Source organism: Homo sapiens, chromosome 6, assembly GCF_000001405.40.
Source record: "Homo sapiens chromosome 6, GRCh38.p14 Primary Assembly".
Lineage (NCBI taxonomy): Eukaryota > Metazoa > Chordata > Mammalia > Primates > Hominidae > Homo > Homo sapiens.
The window spans coordinates 125016928-125034702 of NC_000006.12; the positions used below are offsets into that span (position 1 = coordinate 125016928).

The following is a 17775-nucleotide window of genomic DNA, read 5'->3' on the forward strand; positions in this document are numbered from 1 at the left end:
AAAAAGAAATAGTTGGAAATTAGAATCAATAAGGAAGTGTATAAAAAATAATGGTGTATTTTCCATGGGATACTACGTAGCCATGAAAAGGAATGGTTTCCTCTGGACTTGGCCCCATGCACCTTTTCTCTTTGCTTCTTTTCCCTTTTGCTGCAGTAAATCGTAGCTGTGAGTACAACTTAAAATTTTTAAAAAGACATGGTCATATGAAAATATGTTTTGAAAACTTTTTATGACACTGCCTTTCAATATGCTTTATGTAAATAGTCATATGAATTTCCTTAGAATTTTATGCATGGAAAACTTCCTCTTGCCCAATGAGTTACTATATTTTTCTTTATTGAACAAAAACAGTTATACACCATATTGTATTTTTCATTTGCCTTTTCACTGGGAAACTGTTAAATGTGGGGATTAATTGGTAGTTGTCCTAAGCAAGGTTTTTGAATCAGCAGTATTAGCTCTTTGATGAACTGGCAGCTGTTCCTTCTCCATCTTTGGTAGCTTTATTTGTCTCTATTGTCACAAGCTGCTTTAAGGTTGTTCTGTGGAATTATAAATTAGCTATACAAAACAAGTGTATGAATGGCTAAAATAACAAGGATAACCTATCTTGGGGAAAGAAGACTTCTGTATAGATAATCTTATTATGAGAAGTGTTCACATTTCTCTGCACTTGATACTAGGATTATCTGTTCTATAGGCCTTTAAGCTCAAGTCTTATAACCCTATCATTAAAATAGGGATTAAATTCCTTTCTTAATTATGTATATTTAAATGCCATTAACTTTGGAAGGTTATAATTACATATTAACTGACTGTATTTTTTTATTGTGGGCACTAGTCATTTTAATCTTTCTATTCAAACTGTGTTCAGTAGTTATTCTGATACAAGCATAGCATAATAAATGGGTTAACATATGCAGTGGTGAAAGGTCAAAATGAAACATAGCATTGCCAATACTAAGGGAAAGAATTCACTTTATAAAAGAGGGTACCACATATTTTCACGAATCACATTTTCTGATGCGTTTAAAATATTTTGGTTACATCCAGTCTTCTAGTAGCACATAATCAATTGACTTAAAGTTTTTATAAGTGTAACAACTATCCATTTCTAACACTAGCTATTCAATAATTTGTGGTAGGGTAACATGGAATTGTTTAAGAAAAGTTGTATGTTTTTTATAGAGACATGGTATGAGGGCTCCTTACTTTCAAATTAGCATTAATTAGAGGTAGTGTAGAATCATATAATGCCACTGTTTTATATCTGTATCTTGTACAGTGTTTTAAATAATTTCTTACTTAAGCCTTCCCCCTTTCATTTGAGGAAAGTTAACAATTATCTTTATTTTTATAAGATCAGGTGACTAATGGAAATCCAGGGGGCACTGGTATTGAGCAAGAAAACAGAATTATTTCTAGTATTTTCTTCAGAATTTGGCTTTAGTTTTGCAACAGAATGATCTCATTTTATTTAAGGGACAGTTCTCTTTGAGCACAAGATTTTTGATGAAAACATAGCATCTTGTTTGTGTTTGTTGAAGACTTTTCAAACACATTAGCATTTATAAAACTTGAGCTTTAACTCACAAAGACAGTGAGAGAAAAGGAAAAGCCAACAGTGAACCAGAAATCAGATTTATTTTTAGGGAAAAAAAAGGATAGATGGATAAACTGACTTAGCAAATCTGTTTGTTAACTTAGACGATTAAAAAAGGAATATCAACAATAAAGAGGCTAGTGTGCACCAGTGAATCTCAGAAAGTCTTTGGTAAAGATGGTAGTAGGACTAGTTGAAAACCTAAATAAGGAAGAGGAATGCTACCCTCCTCACCTCTCTTGACCATGACTAGGTGACTACCCCTCTCCCAGAGTAATGAAGACTGGAGGTGTGCACTGGAGGTACTGCAGTGTGGTGATATAGATGCACCATACTGAAAGTAGGGAATCTATGGAGAATCCATATAAAGGGTGGTAAGTCTCCCCGGACTCCATTTGGCCACATGTTCCAGCACTAACAGCTGGACATACACCTCCAGGCATAAAACTTGAGGATTCTTCTCTGGGGAAAGTGTACAGCCCCAAGGAAAAGATCCTAGGTTACTGCTGCTTGGGACATTTGATCTCCCAGTAAAAAAGCCCGCTTGCCTCTGATCACAGAGATGCAATTAGCCAATGAGGCTGGCTCACAGATCTTCCAGTTAGCTTCCTACTGCATCTCTCTTAAATGCAGATTTCATGACACCTCCACGAGGAGGTTGTACACCATTTGAAAATCCCTTCCTTTGAAAATCACCTGTCATCATCTGTTTTTCAATCGTAGCTATTTATTTTGGTATTACCTTAATGTTTCCAAATATACTTATGCTCCTACATTAGAGATTGACTTCCTATTACAAAAGATTAGAACTTACAACTCTGCTATCTTTCTTACCATTTTACCCACCTCCATCCATCCTCTCGATAGCTATCATACAGTTTTTTGTTAATTAATAATCTACATTTAGAATACTGTGACTATATAAGCAACACTTTTTATTGCTGAGTCTAACAATATATATGTTATTCTTATATGACTATTACATTCCTAAACCTAAATTTTCCCCTTTTTATTTTTTAGCTTTCTATACTAATTACAAATTAATTTTTAACCCTTATTACCTTTTACTCTCCACTTGAATTATAAACCTCTCCAAAGATCATTTTCCACCAAATTAGACGAATAATTTAGTTTCTCAAGTTCCATTTTTTTCCTTCTTACAGGCACACTGTCTGGTGCCCTCTGTCTTTCTCCAACACTTACTGGTGCTAGGCCTGCTACATTTCTCCAACACTGAAGCCCTTGGCCTCCTGGATTCCATGTTGCCTGCTCTCTTGCTTGATGTCCCCTTTTTTGCAGTGGGGGGGGAGTGAAAAAATCCTTTATTAAAATAATTTATATTAAAATAACATGTTGCCATTTTTGCCCAACAGATTAAAGTTGCTGTTTGCCTCTTAGCTTAGTCAGCTTTGTGGAGAAGAGCCCAGTAACCCTGGGCGAGGGACTCCAGGTGCTGTGAAGGCATCCAGCCTGTCTCAAGGGGCCAGGTGCTGGTCTCTCTTGGTGCCGCTTTTCCCATGCAGTGCTGCTGGCGTGAGTTCCCTGTGCCAGACTTCCCACCCTCAGCAGAACTTCAGACAGAGCTGTTCACGAGAATGATAAACAGCTACCATTGCAATTCGCAGACACCCGCTGGCTTGGGCTCAGATGTCTGCCAAGGTCTTGATTATTCTATTTTAGTGTATTTCAACAAACAAATACTAAGTGCTTACTGTATGCAGGGCAGGGTCCTGGTGTTCCCTAAGATGCCAAGACAAATAGAATGTGGTATGTGCCTATGAGAAGTATATGATCCAGAGAAAGAGGGCTTGAGACAAATCAATATCTGTTATTAAAAGGGTAGAGAATGTGAAATGATTTTAGAGGCAGACAAACAATATTCTGTGAGCATTTGGTATTCACAAGTCCGCCTAGTTTTTACTTCTATCATGCAGGTCTTTCTCAGAATGACGGGCTGGAGCCTAGTCATCCAGATGGTTTGGGACTTTATAGAACCATGATTCATGGATGTGAGATCTGGTTGTTGTTGCCTTTTTTTTTTTAAATTGCCCTGCTTTCTGATGTTAATTACTGCAGCTGGGCTGCCAAGTAAACATCTGTTCCGGGTAGGATTCTAGATAAAGGCGTATTGCTTTGGCTTGTCTTGTTGGAAACTATTTTTACCTCACATAGAATATTATATAATCTCCATGAATACTGTATACTATGTATGGACTATTACAGATCAACACATGCCTAGAACATTCACAGAAGAGGGGAAAACAACAAATAAATACTCTAACATATATTAAAGCTTACAATTAGTAAGATACACACAAGCATTAAAATAATAATATTGCCATTTTTCCTTATCAAATTAAAGGCAAAAGTTTTGGAGGGTTTTTGTATTTTTTCATTTGTATGCTTATTTTTCTAAATGATAGAATTCATCATGGCAAGTTGTAATTACTATCATGGAACGTAAATAAACATGGCTTTTAGAAAGCAGTTTGGCAATATGTGTTAAAAGTCTCACAATAATCAGATACTTTAACCCAGTATTTTCAGTTCTGGGAATCTACCCTAAGGAAACACAGAATGAACTTTATGCAAAAGTTATTCATCCCACATTATTTATAATAGCATTAAGTTGGAGACAGCCTCCATGTGGAGTTTAACTGTGGTTCCTCTACTCTCTGAAGTATTATACAATGTTCAGAAACAATGATTATAGACAGTAATAACATGGAAAAAGCTTTTTTTTTTTTTTTTGAGACGGAGTCTTGGTCTGTCACCAAGGCTGGAGTGCAATGGCGCGATCTTGGCTCACTGCAACCTGTACCTCCCGGATTCAAGCAATTCTCTGCCTCAGCCTCCCAAGTAGCTGGGATTACAGGTGCCTGCCACCATGCCCGACTAATTTTTTGTATTTTTAGTAGAGACGGGGTTTCACCATCTTGGCCAGGCTGGTCTTGAACTCCTGACCTCGTGATCTACCCACCTCGGCCTCCCAAAGTGCTGGGATTACAGGCGTGAGCCACTGCACCCGGCCAGAAAATGCTTACCTTATGTTACATGGAAAAGCAAGTTACCAAGTTGAATTCAGAGTACATGTAGAATAAATATATTCTACAAGGACTTATATGAAAATGTTGATATTGGTAGTATTAGGATGGTAAGACAAAGCCTGATTTTTTCCCCATTTTTCTGTTTTCCCAGTTTCCTTTATAAAGTCATTTATCAGCTGTACAAACACAGGTGACCTTACTTTCCCTGTATAACTGAAAAATTGACTAGGAAGATCAGACATTGTGCTCTTCAATAAGTAAGAACAGCCATTCCCAGGATTGTCATTAAACACTTTCCCATGCCTTCCCCCCTTTTTTTGAGATGGAGTCTCACTCTGTCACCCAGGCTGGAGTGCACTGGCATGATCTCAGCTCACTGCAACTTCTGCCTCCCAGGTTCAAGCCATTCTCCTGCCTCAGCCTCCCAAGTAGCTGGGATCACAAGCATGCACCACCACACCTGGCTAATTTGTGTTATTTTTAGTAGAGATGGGGTTTCACCATGTTGGCCAGGCTGCTCTCGAACTCCTTACCTTAGGTGACCACCTACCTTGGCCTCCCAAAGTGCTGGGATTACAGGCCTGCACCACCATGCCTGGCCTGTTTTCTTACTGGTTCTAACAAGTGAGGCCCACAGCAGATCTATTTGGTTTATAGGAGAAAATACATTTCTATTCTCCCTCAAAACATGAAGAGATTATTCAACAGTTATGTAAAATTTATATAGCTCCATTATATACAGTACGAATTCAGTGAAATTATAGGCAGTAACAGTTTTGAAAATTAACACATTAACAAAAATAAGTAACAATTAATGTTCTTTCACCTGAGCAGCCTAGGAAACTCTGGGGAAGTTGGACTAGGAAGGATGAGCAGGCTGACAGGGCCAGAAAGGTTTTCCTTCTCTACATCTCTGCCCTTTTTCTTTCAATTAGCACATTGAGTGCAACAGCTGAACTGCAACCAGCCAGGGGTGTGGTTGTTCCTTTAAGGGAGGCTGGGCTTCTGGCCTACATGTGGCCTCTGCCCTGGTAGTTAAGACTGAACATTTTTATCTTCTTATAAACCAGTGATCAAGGCCAATTTGGCTGTCATCTCTCCCTACCCCATGAACCCCTTAAAATAGTCCAGAACAGGATGCTGATTTTTCTACTTACAATTACACATTACACGCTAGACAAAACAAACATACACAATCACACTTCCTTCCCTTTAATTTATGTCCCTTGGACTAGTGGTCTGGTGCTCTCCTTTGTCACCTATGTCCCTGCTTGACCTTGAGTTTTCTGTAGCTAGAGATCACTATTTAGAAAAACCTCACACTATCTCTATTAACCTCTTTTTGAATTTCAACAATTATTTCTTAAGCACCTACTTTATGTCAGGTTAGTGAGCAAGGTATTAGAGATGCCAGAATAAACAAGGCACAGTTTCTGCCCTCAAAGAATTTATAGGATAATAGGGAAAACAAACAATTTTGCTAGAATAGGATAAGTAAAAATGACAGGAATAAGCACAGGTTGCTACAGGAGCAAGTCTTGTTAAGGATCACCTGATACAGTTTTGAGGTATTACAAAAGGCTTCCAAAAGAATTTGATGTCTGAGGTAAGACCTGAAGGATTTAAGCAAGAAAAATATGTGTAAAGTATGTCCTGGGTAGAACAAAAGCATGCGGAGGAGCCCAGAGGCAAAATCAAATATGATTGAGGCATAGCCTGCAATGGGGCAAAAGGGAGTCCAGAAAAGTGGTCACATTTTCACATGGAGGGAGTTTTCACTTTATCCTGAACACAAGGGCATTATTGAAGTATTTTAATTAGTGGAGTTGTATGATCAGACTTGTGTTGTAAAAAGAGTGCTCCAGAGAAGAGGGCACCCTTGTATACTGTTGGTGGGAATGTAAAGTAGTACAGCCATTACAGAAGACAGTATGGAGGATCCTCAAAAAACTTAAAATAGAACTGCCAGATGATCCAGAATCTCACTATTGCATCTATATCTCAAGGAAATGAAATTAGTATGTTGAAGAGATATCTGTACTCCCATGCTCATTGTGCCCTGTTCACAATAGCCAAGATATGGAAACCACCTAAGTGCCCATTGATAGATGAGTGGATAAAGAATATCTAGTATATTTAACAATGGGATGTTAATCAGTCTTTAGAAAGAAGGAAATACTGTCATTTGCAGCAATATGGATGAACCTGGAGGACATTACGTTGAGTAGGATAGACCAGGCACAGAAAGACAAATGCCACATGGTCCCCCTTTATATATGGAATCTTAAAAAGTCAAACTCATAGAAGCAGAAAGCAGAATGTTGGTTACCAGGGGATGGGCATGGGGGGAAAAGGACTAAGGAGATGTTGTTCAAGACATGCAAAATTTCTGTTAGGAGGAATAAGTTCAAGCAACCTATTGTACAGTATGGTGACTATAGTTAGTAACAATGCATTGTATACTTGAAAATTGCCAAGAGAGTAGATTTTAAGTACTTTCACTGCAAATAAATAAATATGTGAGGTAAACAAAATGAAACAAAGAGTACTCCAAAGCCTGGACTAAGTAGCATTGGAGATCAAAAGATGTAAATGATTGTTTGAAGAATTAATAAAGTAGGATTTTGTTGATGGTTGAGGGAGAGAGGAAGCAGAAGAAAAGTCGGGAGGGGATATTACTTTGCTTTCTGTGCCATTTTCATGATAAGGAACATGAAGGAGGCCAGGCACGGTGGCTCACGCCTGTAATCCCAGCACTTTGGGAGGCTGAGGCAGGCGGATCACCTGAGCTCAGGAGTTCGAGACCACCCTGAGCAACACGGTAAAATCCCATCTCCACTAAAATACCAAAAATTAGCCAGGCATGGTGGTGCACGCCTGTAATCCCAGCACTTTGGGAGGCTGAGGCAGGCGGATCACCTGAGCTCAGGAGTTCGAGACCACCCTGAGCAACACAGTAAAATCCTGTCTCCACTAAAATACCAAAAATTAGCCAGACATAGCGGTGCATGCCTGTAATCCCAGCTACTCGGGAGGCTGAGGCACGAGAGAATCTCTTGAGCCCGGGAGGCAGAGGTCGCAGTGAGCCAAGATCATGCCACTGCACTCCAGCCTGGGTGACAGGGTAAGACTCTGTCTCAAAAAAAAAAAAAAAAAAAAATGAAAGTGGGCAGTCAGGGGGACATGGGAAGTGATGAGTTTGTTTTTAGACTGTTGAGTTTGAGGTATTTGACTGAAGACATCAAGTAGGGAATTAAACGTAGATATCAGAAGCTTAGTATAGAGATCTGGACTGGTGTTTTAACATGTGGGAGCTTGCACTGTATATATATGTGGAGTTGAAACCATGGGAGTGGAAGAGTAACTAACCCTCAGAAAGATTAACCAATGAGAACAATCCATTATAAATGCAACCTCAGAGACTCAGGAAGCCTTAAAGGATAGATGCAGGGAAAATCCACAAAGGAGGATACAGGGGACAGAAAGAAGTCAGGAAAATCAGGAATGTGATGTGCTAGAGGTCAAGAAAGAAACAGAACTCAACAGTGTCAGATGTTGCAAAGGAGGCAGTAAAGTAAGGATTCAAATGGACATTTAGTAACCAGAAGGTGATTGATAATTTTGTAGAGAATGACTGAAAGTCATTTCAAGGAGGAGGTGAGACAGATAGCAGTGGGTTTTTTAATGTGGACGTGAACACAAGAACATTAAATAATCTTTCATTTGGCTTGGCTGCAAATGGACAGATGATAAGGACTGGAGACCAAGGCACACAATCCTAACGAGTTTTTTGTTTTCTTTTGCTTTTATAGTGGGAGAAACTTGAGCATGCTTATCAGTTTGAGTGTCTGAAGTTAGCAGAGGGAGGTGAGATTCCTGACAAGGCAGGTGGAAATAATCATCCTAGAAATTTTGCAAAGTCCTGCTTTCTACCGAGGAGGGAGGGAGGAAGGGATATTTCCAAAGGAAGGAAGGAAGGAAGGAAGAAAAGAAGGAAGGGAGGGAGGGAGGGAGGGATATTTCCAAATGTACTCCCTTATGAGTGGGGAACAGAAAGTTGAAGGTGTTCTAAGGAAGGGAGGGAGTGAGGAAAGAAGGGAGGGATATTTCCAAATGTACTCCCTTATGAGTGGGGAACAGAAAGTTGAAGGTGTTCTAGGGAGGGAGGAAGGGAAGGAGGGAGGGAGGGAGGGAGGGAAGGAAGGAAGGAAGGAAGGGATATTTACAAATGTACTCTCTTATGAGTGGGGAACAGAAAGTTGAAGGTGTTCTCAGCTGATCCTGTTGGATTTTTATTCTGTCAAGTACAAGGTGAAGTTTTTGACTGTGTGCATATTGGTCAGTTGAAAGGAAAAGTTAAGAGTAAGGCCTTGAAGAGGGAGGTGAAATGGTTCATGGGTAAGAAAGAAGCACCCCAGAGGGTCCCAGAGAAGGTTGCTGCTCAGTGATGATAGCCCATATGATCGTGGAGACCATCTGCTTGTCCACAGCACTGAGGGAGATGAAAGTTAGACTGCTTGTACTTTTCAAAGTATCACATCCAAAAATGTATTACCTGCCTTTGATGAAGTACTTAAGAATTCTCAGTGGCCGCTAGCAACATGGCATTATTATTCTAAGCAGCCAGTTTTGCAAAACCTGGGTAGACATCTGCAGTGACACAGTGGCAATGTGTCCAGGCTCTGCCAGTGACTAACATTGAATTAAAGCTTTAGTACTTTCTTTCTGGGTGACCTTGGGCAAACTAATTCTGTACTTGGGATCCTGGTAGGGTCTTTATCAGGAGTAACTGAGGTTAATCAATGGAAAATGCTTAGAATAGTGCCTGGCACATACTAAACGCTCAACAAATGTTAGCTGCTGCTATCATCATCATCGTCATCATTATCATTAAGTTTATTGTGATAATAGGATAAATTTCTAGGATGATACAATTCAAGCCTTTAGAGCATTGAGAGCGTAAACGTGTCATCAGTACTCCACATTTCTGTGTAGAAAGAATGACAAAAGGTATTCCTGTTTTGGGGAAGATAACTTTGAAACAAGTATTTAAAACATTTCTCTGAGAAAAAAAAAAGGGAATCACAGTTAGGTGCTATACAAGTCAGCTTTTTTTAGGTAGGGAAGGTTGCATATTCAGTCCTTAAACTCTGCAAGAATTGCACTGCTTCCCTGTGTGACTCTTGACCCTGTGGAAGACAAGTGGGGTGTGAAATCTGCCCAAATCATCTCCCTTACTGGATGAAAAAAATGAAAACAAATTAAAATGAACTGTGATATACTAGTTATAGAGTAGTATTATTTTCACATGCAAAGAGTAATTGTGTTTTGGATACAGTAAATATTAATATTAATATATTAATGTTTATTATATTTGTTGAATGAACATGACATAATTTGTACCATTCTTTTTTAAATTTTTTAAACTATTTTTTAACATTTTTGTGGGTACATAGTAGGTGTATATATTTATGGAATATATGAGCTGTTTTGATGTAAGCATGCAGTGTGAGATAAGCACATCATGGAGAATGAGGTATCCATCCCCTCAAGTATTTATCCTTTGAGTTACAAAAAATCCAATTACATTAAGTTATTTTAAAATACACAATTAAGTTATTATTGACTGTAGTGATCCTATTGTGCTATCAAATAGTAGGTCTTATTCATTCTTCCTGGGCTTTTTTGTACCCATTAACCATCCCTACCTCCCCGCCAATGCCCAACTACCCTTCCCAGCCTCTAGTAACCATCCTTCTACTCTCTATGTCCGTGAGTTCAATTGATGTGATTTTTAGATCCCAGAAATAAGTGAGAACATGCAATGTTTGTCTTTCTTTGCCTGGCTTATTTCACCTAACAGAATAATCTGCAATTTCCTCCATATTGTTGCAAGTGACAGGATGTCATTCTTTTTTATGGCTGAATAGTACTCCATTGTGTATATGTACCACATTTTCTTTACCATTTGTCTGTTGATGGACACTTAGGTTGCTTCGAAATCTTAGCTGTTGTAAACAGAGCTGCAACAAACAGAAGTGTAGAGATCTCTTCAATATACTGACTTCCTCTCTTTTGGGTATATACCCAGCAGTGGGATTGCTGGATCATATGGTAGCTCAATTTTCAGTTTTTTGAGGAACCTCCAAACTGTTGTCCATAGTGGTTGTACTAATTTACATTCCCACCAAAAGTGTACAAAGGTTCCCTTTTCTCCATATCCTCACCAGTATTTGTTATTGCCTGTCTTTTGGATACAAGCTGTTTTAACTGGGGTGAGACGGTATCTCTTGTAGTTTTGATTTGCATTTCTCTGACATCAGTGATGTTGAGCATCTTTTCATATGCCTGTTCACCATTTATTCAAATCATTGCCCATTTTTTAATCAGATTATTAGATTTTTTCCTGTAGGGTTGTTTGGACTCCTTATATATTCTGGTGATTAATTTCTTATCAGAGGAGTAGTTTGAAAATACTTTCTCCCATTCTGTGGGTTGTCTCTTCACTTTGTTGGTTATATCTTTGCTGTGTAGAAGCTTTTTAACTTAATGTGATCCCATTTGTCCAGGTTTGCTTTGGTTGCCTGTGTGTCCTATTCTTAATGCCAGATATAGTTTGTTAGTTTATCTTAATCCCCCTTTTTTGGTTCAGTACCCCTTTAAATATATGACAAAATCTGGGAGTATGTACTCCCAACAATGCACAGGTGAACAACACACAAAGATAATTTGAGGACCCCAAGATAGGAGCACCTTTTCATATGCCTGTTTGCCATTTGTAGGTCTTCTTTTGAGAAATGTCTATTCAAATCTTTTGCCCATTTTTTATTAGGCTATTATATATTTCTTTTGGAACTACACTGAGTGTATATAGTGTATACAGTGTATATTTTGGAACTATACTGAATGAATATAGTGCAAAATTTCTTTTGGAACTACACTGAGTTTCTCACTGTATATATTTAGTGTAGTTCCAAAAGAAATATGTTTCTAGAATATATATTATGGCAAAATGTATTATAATTCAGTTTTAAAAAGTGGAAAGAGCATAAAATAAAACTGGAAATAATAACTGATGCAAAATTGCACTATATGAAAATGCTTAAATTATGCAATTATTCTCTTTTTACACTTGTACCTGTGTTTCACTTAAAAGAGAATGGTGTAAGAGCTTTTTAAAATAAGGTTTTTTTTTTAGTTTTACTTATTATTTACTGTGTTAAATTACTGTGATGTGTTCCACTGGGCTTTTTTTACTGCTTATGTAAGTCTTCTGATGTGCTGTCTTACTGCCTTTTTATATATTTTATCTTAGCTAGTTTTCTTAAGTGAATTATTTCAATCAAACTTCATATTTGATCTATCTCAGTTGTAACATGTGAGAAAATATTTACCTGGTTGACCAATAACAAAATCAAGAAGTTTTAACTGTATTGAAATTACCCAAAGAAATTAGAAAGCTCAGTTGAAGCAGAACAGGATTCTCTAAAATGTATTTTCAATAACAAGACATTTAAAACTGAATATTCCAATCCCTTTTCAACCTAATTACAAACTTTGCAGTAAGAGTTTGGAGTATATTCTTTCAGCATGGAAGTCTTTTTTGGACACCTCTCTAATCCAGTAATATTTTTAAGAGACACTTATACCCCTAGAATGAGTTTGTTTTCTCCCTATTTTGAAGGTATTAAACATCAAAAGCAAAGACAGCTTTTTAAAAACATATATATTCTTTTATTTTTTCATATTCAAATACACTTTGATTTAGTTCCTGGGGGATATAAAGGAAAATATGGTTCCTCTACACTAAACAGCATTTTATATTTGGAAGTAATGAATAGAAGCCAGGAAGGAGGAAATTATTTCTTTCTTTATTGAATCTAAAAACTCCAGGTAATGAACAGACCATTCGTAGAACTGGGTGGATGGTGCACAAAGATACTTTGTTTTGGCATGAAAAGGCTCCGTTGAAGTTTCTGTTAAAGAACTATGTTAACTTGGTTTAACATCTAAGAAGGCATTGATACTTGCCAATTTTGAAAGACCAAACTCTGTAGGGGGGAGAAGTGTAAATGTTGTTGGTAAAAATGTAGAACGTGCATTTTTTAAAGTGTCAAACGTTGATTACCTCCAGGTTTGCAGTTATTATCATAAGAAATGATCTTGTCATTATATCTGTTAAGTAGTTTTGAAGATGAAAAGTTTTGGAATAAAAAAAAATTTTTGAAATCAGCTACATAAAAGGAACATTGCTATCTGTGAATTAGCTGAGATGACGACAGCACTGTGTAGGGTGGGATTCCCATAGGGCTTAGTTTACTTGGGACATAGCTGCTTTGTTACTCCGTTTTCATGCTGCTGACAAAGACATACCTGAGACTGGGAAGAAAAAGAGGTATAATTGGACTTAAGAGTTACACGTGGCTGGGGAGGCCTCAGAATCATGGCGGGAGGTGAAAGGCATTTCTTACATGGCAGCAGCAAGAGAAAATGAAGAAGAAGCAAAAGCAGAAACCCCTGATAAACCCATCAGATCTTGTGAGACTTATTCACTATCACAAGAATAGCATGAGAAAGACCAGCCTCCATGATTTAGTTACCTCCCCCTGGGTCCCTCCCACAACACGTAGGAATTCTGAGAGATACAATTCAGGTTGAGATTTCAGTGGGGGCACAGCCAAACCATATCATTCTGCCCCTGGCCCCTCTAAATCTCATGTCCTCACATTTCAAAAACAGTCATGCCTTCCCAACAGTCCCCCAAAGTCTTAACTCATTTCAGCATTAACCCAAAAGTCCACAGTCCAAAATCCCATCTGAGACAAGGCAACTCCCTTCCTCCTAAGAGTCTGTAAAATCAAAAGCAAGCTAGTTACTTCCTAGATACAATGGGAATACAGGTATTGGGTAAATACAGTCATTCCAAATGGGAGCTATTGGCCAAAAGGCCAAAACAAAGGGTTTAGAGCGCCCATGCAAGTCCAAAATCCAGTAGGGCAGTCCAATTTTAAAGTTCCAAAATGATCTCCTTTGATTCCAGGTCTCATATCCAGGTCACGCTGATGCAAGAGGTGGGTTCCCATGGTCTTGGGCAGTTCTGCATCTGTGGCTTTGCAGGGTACAGTCTCCCTCCTGGCTGTTTTCATGGGCTGGCATTGAGTGTCTGCGGCTTTTCCAGGCACACGGTGCAAGCTGTCGGTGGATGTACCATTCTGGGGTCTGGAGGACAGTGGCCCTCTTCTTGCAGCTCCACTAGACGGTGCCCCAATAGGGACACTGTGTAGGGTCTCCGACCCCACATTTTCCTCCCGCACTGCCCTAGCAGAGGTTCTACATGAGGGCCCTGCCCCTGCAGCACACTTTTGCCTGGGCATCCGGGCGTTTCCCTACATCTTCTGAAATGTAGGTGGAGGTTTCCAAACCTCAGTTCTTGACTTCTTTGCACATGCACGCGGAACACCACATGGAAGCTGTCAAGGTTTGGAGCTTCCACCCTCTGAAGCCACAGCCCGAGCTGTATGTTGGCCTCTTTCAGCCATGGCTGGAGCAGCTGGGACACAGGGCACCAAGTCCCTCAGCTGCACACACCCTGGGGACTGTGGGCCCAGCCCACGAAACCACTTTTTCCTCCAGCGCCTCCAGGCCTGTGATGCTAGGAGCTGCGATGAAGGCCTCTGACATGGCCTGGAGATATTTTACTCATGATCTTGGGGATTAACATTAGGCTTCTTGCTGTGTATGTGAATTTCTGCAGCTGGCTTGAATTTTTCTGTAGAAAATGGGTTTTTCTTTTCTATCACATTGTCAGGCTTCAAATTTTCCAAACATTTACGCTGTTTCCCTTTTAAAACTGAATGCTTTTAACAACACCCAAGTCAACTCTTAAATGCTTTGCTGCTTAGAAATTTTTTTCATCAGATACTCTAAATCATCTCTCTCAAGTTCAAAGTTTCAGTTCCACAAATCTCTAGGGCAGGGGCAAAAAGCTGCCAGTTTCTTCACTGAATCATAATGAGAGTCACCTTTGCTCTAATTCCCAACAAGTTTCTCATCTCCATCTGAGACCACCTCAGCCTGGACCTTCTTGTTCATATCACTATAAGCATTTTCATTAAAGCCATTCAGCTAGTCTCTAGGAAGTTCCAAACTTTCCCACATTTTCCTATCTTCTTCTGAGCCCTCCAAGCTGTTCCAACCTCTGCCTGTTACCTAGTTCCAAAGTTGGTTCCACATTTTCGGGTATCTTTTCAGCAATGCCCCACTCTACTGGTACCAATTTACTGTATTAGTCCATTTTCACACTTTTGACAAAGACATACACAAGACTGGGAAGAAAAAGAGGTTTAATTGGACTTACAGTTCCGCATGTCTGGGGAGGCCTCAGAATCATGGTGGGAGGTGAAAGGCACTCCTTACATGGCAGCAGCAAGAGAAAATGAGGAAGATGCAAAAGTGGAAACCCATCAGATCTCGTGAGACTTATTCATTATCACAAGAATAGCATGGGAAAGACCGGCCCCCCATGATTCAGTTACCTCCCCCTGGGTCCCTCCCACAAGTAGGAATTCTGAGAAATACAATTCAAGTTGAGATTTGGGTGGGGACACAGCCAAACCATATCAGCTGCTTTCTCCACTACACAGTAAAGAGGGTTAGGAGAAAACCCATAATTCATTAGTGCAAAGATATGGGATAGAAACTGAGACTAGCAAATGTATTCAGAAACAAACTTAAAATTCCTAATTCAATTTTGATAGGTAGAACTCCATACCCATAATTCTTAATAATCTGTCTTATTGTCAAGACCAATGCAAAGATTTGGTTTTACTGTCAGTTCTGCATCTAATATCTACCATAGTTAGGAAACACTTATGCCAAATATATAAATATATATATATATTTCTTATCTCCAGAATATTTTGTCAAGTAAAGAAAGCTAGGTGAATATTATTTGCTAACATTTGGGTTAAATATTTAAGTTAAAAAAGGACAAAATATGTATATTTGTATTTCATGTATATACTTTAAAAGTTTCTGGAAGGAAACGACAACCATTTTGTGGGGTGAATGGAGAAAAGAGGACAGTTGTAAGAGATAATTGTATGTCTACTTTATACTTTTTGGTTTATGAACTATGATCATTTTTGAGCTTATTTTAAAAACTGAATTAAAAATTTAAAAATTTGCATAAGAGGATAAGGGAGCACGAACATTCAGATAGTAAGGAGGGAAGAAAAGTTTAAGTAATGTAAAAAAGATGATTGTAGAAAAGTACATTTGGACTGGTTTCATGAAACATTAATATCTCATTAATTGTACAGTTATTATTTTAACTGTAATATTAAACATTGTTTTGGGGAACCTTTAAGTACTATGATAACTCTTTCCAAATTACACGTGAGTGTGGTTTTATTGTACTTTTCCCTGATGACTTATGAAGTTGAATACATTTTCATATGCTCACTGGCCATTTGGACATTGTCTTTTGTGAAGTACCCATAAAGTCTCGACTATTTTTCTTTTTTTTTCTTTTTTCAATATATCCAAGGCCATATAATTAATACATTTCAGAGTTTGGATTTCAACTAAGATCTGTTTGCCTACAGATTCTGTGTTCTTTTTTTTTTTTTATACTTAAGTTTTAGGGTACATGTGCACAATGTGCAGGTTAGTTACATATGTATACATGTGCCATGCTGGTGTGCTGCACCCATTAACTCGTCATTTAGCATTAGGTATATCTCCTAATGCTATCCCTCCCCCCTCCCCCCACCCCACAACAGTCCCCAGAGTGTGATGTTCCCCTTCCTGTATCCATGTATTCTCATTGTTCAGTTCCCATCTATGAGTGAGAACATGCGGTGTTTGGTTTTTTGTCCTTGTGATAGTTTACTGAGAATGATGATTTCCAATTTCATCCATGTCCCTACAAAGGACATGAACTCATCATTTTTTATGGCTGCATAGTATTCCATGGTGTATATGTGCCACATTTTCTTAATCCAGTCTATCATTGTTGGACATTTGGGTTGGTTCCAAGTCTTTGCTACTGTGAATAGTGCCGCAATAAACATATGTGTGCATGTGTCTTTATAGCAGCATGATTTATAGTCCTTTGGGTATATACCCAGTAATGGGATGGCTGGGTCAAATGGTATTTCTAGTTCAAGATCCCTGAGGAATCGCCACACTGACTTCCACAATGGTTGAACTAGTTTACAGTCCCACCAACTGTGTAAAAGTGTTCCTATTTCTCCACATCCTCTCCAGCACCTGTTGTTTCCTGACTTTTTAATGATTGCCATTCTAAGTGGTGTGAGATGGTATCTCATTGTGGTTTTGATTTGCATTTCTCTGATGGCCAGTGATGATGAGCATTTTTTCATGTGTCTTTTGGCTGCATAAATGTCTTCTTTTGAGAAGTGTCTGTTCATATCCTTTGCCCACTTTTTGATGGGGTTGTTTGTTTTTTTCTTGTAAATTTGTTTGAGTTCATTGTAGATTCTGGATATTAGCCCTTTGTCAGATGAGTAGGTTGCGAAAATTTTCTCCCATTTTGTAGGTTGCCTATTCATTCTGATGGTAGTTTCTTTTGCTGTGCAGAAGCTCTTTAGTTTAATTGGAGCCCATTTGTCAATTTTTTCTTTTGTTGCCATTGCTTTTGGTGTTTTAGACATGAAGTCTTTGCCCATGCCTATGTCCTGAATGGTAATGCCTAGGTTTTGTTCTAGGGTTTTTATGGTTTTAGGTCTAACATTTAAGTCTTTCATTCATCTTGAATTAATTTTTGTATAAGGTGTAAGGAAGGGATCCAGTTTCAGCTTTCTCCATATGGCTAGCCAGTTTTCCCAGCACCATTTATTAAATAGGGAATCCTTTCCCCATTGCTTGTTTTTGTCAGGTTTGTCAAAGATCAGATAGTTGTAGATATGCGACATTATTTCTGAGGGCTCTGTTCTGTTCCATTGATCTATATCTCTGTTTTGGTACCAGTACCATGCTGTTTTGGTTACTGTAGCCTTGTAGTATAGTTTGAAGTCAGGTAGCGTGATGCCTCCAGCTTTGTTCTTTTGGCTTAGGATTGGCTTGGCGATGCAGGCTCTTTTTTGGTTCCATATGAAC

The 17775-nt window shown here is 38.7% G+C and overlaps 1 protein-coding gene across 13 annotated transcripts in view, besides 1 other annotated feature; it reads left to right on the plus strand.

The window, feature by feature from the left end:
* RNF217 (ring finger protein 217) overlaps window positions 1–17775 on the plus strand; it is a 130198-nt gene that overhangs the window by 54491 nt on the left and 57932 nt on the right. The gene's annotated exons all lie outside the window — the stretch shown is intronic.
* Window positions 14983–15183: a silencer, noted in NCBI's record as "peak6103 fragment used in MPRA reporter construct". NCBI's record gives its function as "represses an SCP1 promoter by STARR-seq MPRAs in K562 erythroleukemia cells {active_cell/tissue: K562}" and the evidence as "EXISTENCE:reporter gene assay evidence [ECO:0000049][PMID:32103011]".